We start from the raw sequence: 8,758 nt of genomic DNA, 5'->3' as shown, positions 1-8,758 counted from the left end.
TAACTGCTTTCGCTTAAGTCAATTTTCTCATAAAGACATTTTCAAAATTTGAATATGTAATGATTTATAAAAACACATGGGTCAATGGCCATTAGCTTCAATAAAACATAATTAGGAATACTTTTGTTTTTTTTCCAAAAATTTGGTGAATTTCTTTGAGGACACTTAGGAGTCTCAGTATTTAAAATTTTTAAATTGAATTTAGAATTTTTCTAATTTTCTTTCATGAATCTGAAGTAGAATTGAATGTAGGAAAAAAACAGAAATAAAACAGTATAGATAAACTGGCTCTGAGTTTATTATTTTCACAAGAGGGAAAATAAAAATCTATTTTTGAAATCATTGAAATTCAGACTTTCAGTTTTATACATGCCATGGGATACCTACATAGCAGTCAATATGGTGCAAATATTTTATTGCTTAGCCAGAAATGTTAAAATTAAAAAAGCATCTGAAAATGACAAGTTTAAAGAATTCCATTAGAGAACTTAAAATGCAACATAACTCAATCAGCATCCAGAGCCTTAATTAAAATTTTACAATTGGAAACCACTATAGATTAAGTGCCCTAAAAAGTAAATTCTCCTTCATGTATATGAACCAATTACTTAAAAGAAAGGGGTGGGGGATATCGAAGAATTCTGATCAAACCAATAAAAACATAAGCATGAAGATGAAATTATTGACTATTGATTACATTTAAATCACATTAAAATGCCATTAGATTTCTTAATAGTTGACTAGCCTAGTAAAGAGCATTGCCAACATATGTACGTTTCTATAATAATAAAAATAGATGAGAAAATAATGCATTTTGAACAAAGTGCTCATTTGTATATTTTAAATAGCAGAGATACAAAAAAGATGACTGAAAATTTTAATTCAGTTCCATAAAAGGAGTTTTGTTGTCAAGTGTGTCATCTTATATACTAATGTACAACTGAACTACCATTTTAGGTTGTAAGATGTTCAGCACAGAGTCAGGTAACTTGATGCTCTCCGTATTTTGGTGTCCAGTGCTAAGTGATTTAAAAAAAATTTGTGTCTAGACATAGTCGCGTTTTAGAATTGTGGTTAGGCTCGTAGCAGTACTGTGATGCAGAGCTACACATATTGGAGCAGTTGGTTTCAGAATACCTATGATCTTGTTAAATAAGGAACTCCCACAGAGTAATGACAAGCATAGGTAATGGAGAACCTTTTTAAGCACAAAGCATGGAGCTTAGCCCTGAAGTGCAGGCACAGCATGGCCCTGTATAACTGAACCTGATGCAGAGGCCGAGAGCAGACAGCTCACGGAGCACATGTGGTGGTGAGAAGCAGCCTAAGCCTCGAGATGTAAGAAGTCACAGGCCCTGCAGAGGTGAGTCTCATAAATCAATGACCAATCCTTATGTGTGCTCAGATGGGCATTCTTGCTGAGTCATTGATCTTTTTATCCAAACCCAAACTGATGGCAGTAATCATTGATTGCATTGCTATATTTAAAATGTGCATCTTCAAAATTGCAAGTTTATTTAATAGACCATTTTAACTATGAAACATCAAAAGCATTAAATTTCTCAAGATATTTTCAAATGTATCAAAGAAAATTAACTTACATGAACTCGGTCCAACATTTAAGACTATCTTATTGAGATAAAAAACTAGAGAAATACTGAAATTTTGATCAGTGTTTTGTTTTGTCATAGGGGTTACTATGAGCCAGCATTTAAATACTAATTAGCTGCAGTAAAATATTTACTGAAAGACCATTCAGCATTTGAGAGAACACATACCAAAATGGAGGCTACAAATAAGGGGGTAAAATTCACTTCTATGTAAAAATAATCATGGTAAACATGAATTGCCAGTGAAAATCACATGCTCTTCAAGTCAGAGCTACTAGTTTCCGAAGGGCACCATCTCCACTCATGTATTTGAGTATGCTTATAACAACGCATGTTTCTGTTAAAAGTGCATATATTACAAAAATATTTTTATGAAAGAGCATTCTTAGCATATATGAGGATATTTTGATCAACTAATATATTTTTCCTTGTCTTTACACAAAAGAGTTGTCTTAGGCTGAACTTTCTTTTGTGTCGTTTGTATTGTGATAAGTAACACATTCAACCTGCCCTCTTAAAAAATGTTTAAGTATACAGTACAGTATTGTTCATTGTAAGTAAAATTTTGTATAGCAGATATCTAGGATTTTTCATCTTGTGTGACTCTGTACCCATCGAACAGCAACTTCTCATGTCTCCTTCCTCTCAGCCACTGAAAACCACAATTATACTTCCTGCCTCTATGAGTTTGGCTACTTTAGATAATTCTCATATAAGTGGAATCACATAGTATTTGTCCTTCTGTGACTTTCTTATTTTAGTTAGCATGACGTCCTCAAGGTTCATCCGTGTTGTAGCACATTACAGGATTTCCTTTTGTATGGCCGAATAATACGACACTGTATGTAGGTATCTGCACAGCAAAAAAATCAATCGGTAGAATAAAATGGCAACCTATAGAATGGGAGAGAATATTTGCAAACCATATATCTGAGAAGGGGTTACTATCTAAAAAATTTAAACAAATTTTAAATTTCTATAAATTTATGGGTATACATGTAGTTTTGTTCCATGGATATACTGCATAGTGGTGAAGTCAGGGCTTTTAATAGATCTGTCACGGGAATAAGAAATATTATACCCATTAAGTAATAAAGAACTCCTGCCACTAAATAGCAAAAAAAAAAAAAAACCAAATAACCCAATTTTAAAAAATAGGTGAGGGACTTTAAGAGATACTTCTCCAAAGAAAACATACAAATGGCCAACAGGTGTATGAACATATGCTGGACATCACTAATCATCAGGGGAATGAAAATCGAAGCCACAAAAAGATATCACTTTATGCTTGTTAGAATGATCACTATAAAAACAAAAATAACAAAGGAGAAAATAACAAATATTGGCAAAGTTGTGGAAAAATTGAAACTCTTGAGCGGTGGTGGTAGAAATGTAAAATGGTGTTGTTGATATGAAAAAGAGTTTGGGGGGGTTCCTCAAAAAATTAAAAATAGAACCACCATATAACGCAGCAATGCCACATCTCGGTATTTATAGAAAAAAAATAAAATCAGGTTCTTAAATAGATCTGTGTACACCCTTGATCATTTTAGTATTATTCACAATAGCCAAGAAGTGAAAAAAACCCTAAATGTTCAGAATCAACTCTTGCTTAGCCTAAATTTTTCCTGGTTTTCTTGCAATGTCTTAGCAAAACTGTTTTTAATTACCGATAACTGAGAAAAATAAATGTAATCCTGGAAATTAGCTTTCACTTTCATCATTATTTGAGTGACAAAATAATGATAAAGCACTGGCCTTCAAAGTGATATCTTAAGAGAATAATTTGTAGTAAAAATGTAACATTCTAAAACTTAGCAAACTACTGCATATACAGGCTGTATCATATAAAATTCTCTGTTATCTGTATTCTGTGAATATACATCAGGGTTTGTGTTTTCTCCCCTTTCATGCTGTAAGGTCACTTTTTAGCAAGGACTGTCAAATACATTTCCTTTGAAGGAAAATTGACCTGGTCCACTGACTACTTAGTAATTTGTTTTGCAGACATTTGACACCTGACACATGGATTTCAGTAAATGATAGTTGACACTTAATGTACAATAGTATTAAAAAGGTAACAAATGTGTAAGTCAATTTTGCTTAGTTACTTTTTCTGAATTGTAAATGCATGAGGCTTTCTGTTGATTATAGTAATTTCAATATTAATCATTAATATTTTATGGAAAAAAAACCTTACATTTAAAGTAAATGATATAAAGTAAGACCAAATCAAGAAGTTACTCCATGTAAAGTATGGTTTATTATATATTTGACTCAAGTTTCTTAAACAAGCTGGTAATTTGGCCTTTAGTTTTGAATTAAAAGAAGGAAGGCAGGGGGAAAGGGAGGGACGGAGGGAGAAGGGAAGGAAGGAAGGAGGGAAGAAAGGAAGGGAGGAAGGAAGGAGAGAGTAAAGAGGAGAAGGGGGAGGGGGAGGGGGAGGTGAGGTGAGGTTAGGCTAGGCGAGAAATCAAACAAACCAGAAACAAAATTCTCTCTGAAAAGACCGGAAAAGGATATTGTAATGGAGGGGAGAAGAGAACGGGCGTTTTAGTGCCCTCCTCTATACTATCTTTACTTTACTGAAAACCACCCCAGATAAAAACTACTAAGGAAAAACAGTTTGTTTCTTATAGAAATGTCATTTGAATACAAATAATTTAGCCATTTTGTATTTGACTGTGCCCTGGAGCCCCTTCTGTATAGAAACTATGCAGTCACCATTGGGAGTAGAACAGGCATTCCTATGAATTTAGATTTTTATATTTGCTAAAATATTTAGGCTGTAATTAACTTAGTTTCTGATAAAATAGTAAGTTCAAAGTAAGGTATAACAGTATAGAGAAGAAAACCACTTGAAAATAACAACCAAAACAATGGCAGCAACAAAGCCTACTGGCTACACATCTCCTCATTTTTCATCAGTGTAGAGTGATTCTTGAAAGTAATTGTTACAAATACAAAGAAATGGGAAACATGAAAATGAATGAAAAGTGGAATATCTTTGAAGAAATGTTAACCTTACATTCTACACATGGGTAGATGGAATCACTACTCACCCATTTAATTTTACTTTGTTTGTGTGTATACTTTAATCTTTTGGAGAGGTGAAGAACATTTTTATAGTATATATTACGTCCATTTCAAATAGAGGTATTGAATTTTTTTTTCTAAAATATAAGTTTCCTAAAGACTTTGTATACTCTTTCTTTTGGAGATTCCCCAGAATTCCCTGTTAATTCCCTTAATAGATACTCTATATGTTCCACTTCTGTAGCTTTATTTTTCACAATCAGAAATTGGAGGGAAAGCAGCCTAAATATTTTAGGGGCAAATTAAAAAGGTATAACATTTGACTCAGTAATATACAAACATTTTGAAGCTATTGTTAAACTCAAAATATGAGCCAAGTATTGCACTAGATGCCATAAGGAATGCAATATGATATAATTAATGATATTTATTGAGTGCCTGCTCTGGGTCAGGCATCAGTCCTGGGAACACAACGAAGAACAAAAGAGTCAAGGATGCTCTTCTGATAGAGCTCGTATTCTAATTGGGGGAGACAAACAAACAATAAGCAACTAGACAAATAAACAACATCAGCCTGGTACTAAGTGATATACAGAGAAATTAAAAGGGTGATGTGATAAAAAGTGACTGAATGGTTTCCTATAGCCTCCTGAAGAGGTAACATTTAAGCTGCTCTATGAATGATGAGAAGGAGCTAGCTATGTGAAGATCATAGGGAGGACCTGTGCATATCTGTATGTCAACCTGGCTGAGTAAATAAGAATATAAATAATTTGAAATGCCTGATGATTTCTGGTAATGCTAATAATTTCAAGATTACTATTTTTTTTAATTTGTGAAAAAAATATATGACCAAATATGGAAGGAATATTTTGATCAAAGTCCCTAAACAGGCCTCGGTTTAGCAACTTTGAAAAAAAATCTGAAGAGAGTCCCACTCACAAATGCATGCTGGGCAAGGAAGGTAGAGGCTTGAGTTTCATGGCAGAGAGATAAGGAGAGGATGATCACTTTGCATTGTAAGCCAGGATGATACGTTTGGAGCTTGTTCTAATTTTGAAAGACCGCTGGAGTCTTTAGAGCAGAGGAGTTACATGATCTGATACATATTTATGTATAATATTTTATGTACAATATTAATATCATCTTATCTGCCATATGGAAATTGTATTGTAGAAGGATCAGAGGTTGGAGCAGGGAGAAAAAAAGTTAGCAGGATATTTCTGAGAGGATGGTTTTGCTCTTTATTAGAATAGGCTAAATGATATGGAACAAATTTAAGGGGAAAAATCAAGAGCTCCATATATAAGATGTCATTAGACAAACACATGAAGATGGCAAGAAGGCTGTTTGGTATATCACTGTGGGATTTCAAAGAGCATTTTGCACAATTATGGTGTTTAAAGTCACAGGAGTAGATAGATGATATAACCTGTGGACATTGTGTAGGTAGATGGAAAGGAGAATTGGGCCCAGGATTGTGGGCAGAGGATTACCTAGGTGCCGAGGCAAGAGACTGAAGGCACAAACTGTTTCAGTATAATAAAGAAAATAGTTAGAATAAGAATAGTCATAATACAAATTAGATATAGAGATGATCATGAAGAATTATCAATCATTATTATAGACATTATTAATCATTAGCTTTTAATATTACTCTTTGTTGCATTACTAATATAACCTAGGAATAACCGGCGGGTATAGGGTCAGGTGCTGAAAGGACATTGTGAGAAGTGACCTAGAAGACAAGAGGTGAGCCTTCTGTCACACCCGCAAAAGGCCACTTGAGGGCTCCTTGGTCAAGCGGTACCACCAGTGTCGGGGAAGGCACCCATTACTTAGCAGACCGCGAAAGGGAGTCTCCTTTCCTTGGAGGAGTTGGGGAACACTCTGCTCCACCAGCTTCTTGTGGAAGGCTGGATATTATCCAGGCCTGCCCGCAGTCATCTGGAGGCCTAAAACCCTCCCTGTGATGCTGTGCTTCAATGATCACACTCCTTGTCCGCTTTCATGCTCCTCCCGTACTCCTGGTTCCTCTTTGAAGTTCGTAGTAGACAGCAGTAGAAGAAACAGTGAAAGTCTTAAAAGTCTTTGATCTTTCTTATAAGTTCAGAGAAGAAAATGCTGATGTATGCTGCCTTCTCTCTCTACCTTGGCTACCTAAAAGGGAAGGGCCCCCTATCCGGTAATCAGGTGACTTGCTTCACCTTGTCAATCACTTAGAAGATTCACCCTCCTCACCCTGCCCCCTTGTCTTTATGCAATAAATATCAGCAGGCCCAGCTGTTCGGGGCCACTACTGGTCTCCGCATCTTGATGGTAGTGGTCCCCGGGGCCCAGCTGTTTTCTCTTTATCTCTTTGTCTTGTGTCTTTATTTATTACCATCTCTAGTCTTTGCACACGGGGAGAACACCCGCTAAGCCCCGTAGGGCTGGACCCTACACAGGATAAAGCTTTGATTTATTTCAACTTTTAGAGTTAAGGAGGAGAAGTCAAGCAAGGCGAATTAGAAGAAAATTCCAGTGAGGTAGTAAATAAAGAAGTTAAGAGTGACTGATCCTCCCAAATCTTTGAGGTCATTTTGCTAAGTGGGAGAACAGAAAAATGGGGTGTATTAGTCCGTTCTCACATTGCTATAAAGAACTACCTGAGACTGGGTAATTTATGAAGAAAAGAGGTTTAATTGAACCACAGTTCCACATACTGTACAGGAAACATGGCTGGAAAGCCTCAGGAAACTTAGTCATTGCAGAAGGACAAAGGGGAAGCAAGCACATCTTCACAACAGAGAGTGGGAAGGGCTACAGACTTTTACACAACCAGATCTTGTAAGAACTCACTATCATGAGAACAGCAATGGGGATATTCCCCCCATGATTCAATCACCTCCCACCAGTTTCCTCCCTCAACACTGGGGATTACAATTCAACACAAGATATGGTTTGGGACACAGACCAAACCATATCATGGGGCAATAGTTTAAGGAAAATGTAGGGTTAAGACAGGGTTTTTTACAAGATCAGAGATACTACAGTAGTGCTGTACATACATCCCATAATATTGATGGGCAGAATTCAGTAGAGAGACAACCTAACAGAGATATCTTGAGAGAATAAATACAGAATGAAAGTCTTTGAGAGGTGAGCATAAGTAAGAACTGCAGTACTATCAGGGGGTTTGACACTCAGGGGATTGAGGCTATCCACTCCCTGGCTAAAGAGAAGAGGCAAAGAAAACAAAGAACAAATATTTTCAGCCCTTGAAAGACATTCTTGCTTGATCCTTAAGCTTGCTAATTCTATTTCGATCTTCATCTCTCTTATTTGCCAGAGTATCAAGAATCTACCTAGACACTGGCTAGAGTTTATGGCATTGCAATATAATGGACCACCAACTATGCCTCCTCTTTCACAGGAACCCGCAGGTGCTGTGTTTAGTAAATGCCTTTACCTATTTTTTTTTTCCTCAAAGAACCAGACATTTTCAACCTGTGAGTCCTTTGTGTGTGACAGATACTAATATAAGTAAAAACAAAGACAAGAAACGATTTTAAGCAATTTCACTCATCGGCTCTCTCCAGTTGCCTAAAGGAAGGAGGTTTTTGACTCGGGGCCAGCATTAATTGAACCTTGTTATGCCTGTAGAATTTAGAGAGTGAGAACAGCAGGAAGCTAAAGGTATTGAAGTAGTGCAGAAGGACTATGGATTAAAACAAGGTAAGACAAATCTGTGAAAGTGAAATGGCAAGAAAAGAGCAACAGTTTACAGAATATGGATTCTGTCAGGAATTTGAAAAGCAGAAGAAAACAAAAGGGAAATAGAAAATGAAGCAGCTACAGTGATGAGAGTGATTTTGGATGGAGAAACAAGGGCATGAAACTTCCACAAAGACCCATTATATTTTGAATACTTTTGGAGTCAGCCTTTTGTTTCTTTTAAATGTGATACCATGCTGATCTCAAGACACTCAGTTTTATTAAAATTCGTTTAATTGTTCTGCATTTGTTTAACACACACTTATACAATGCCTTAAGCATGATGCTGGGTGCTGTTTGAGACCCAAAGAAAGTAAAGTCCACCCTTGTCCTCCAGTAGCGCCCTCTGATGATGT

General features: G+C 36.1%; 1 annotated feature.

Moving 5' to 3' along the window:
• Positions 926-1,466: an enhancer, noted in NCBI's record as "OCT4-NANOG hESC enhancer chr3:144578047-144578587 (GRCh37/hg19 assembly coordinates)". NCBI's record gives its function as "activates a minimal SCP1, AML or CMV promoter by ChIP-STARR-seq in naive H9 embryonic stem cells {active_cell/tissue: H9 hESC(naive)}" and the evidence as "EXISTENCE:reporter gene assay evidence [ECO:0000049][PMID:30033119]".

Source organism: Homo sapiens, chromosome 3 (assembly GCF_000001405.40).
Source record: "Homo sapiens chromosome 3, GRCh38.p14 Primary Assembly".
NCBI classification, from domain to species: Eukaryota; Metazoa; Chordata; class Mammalia; order Primates; family Hominidae; genus Homo; species Homo sapiens.
This window is presented reverse-complemented; position numbering and strand designations above follow the sequence as displayed.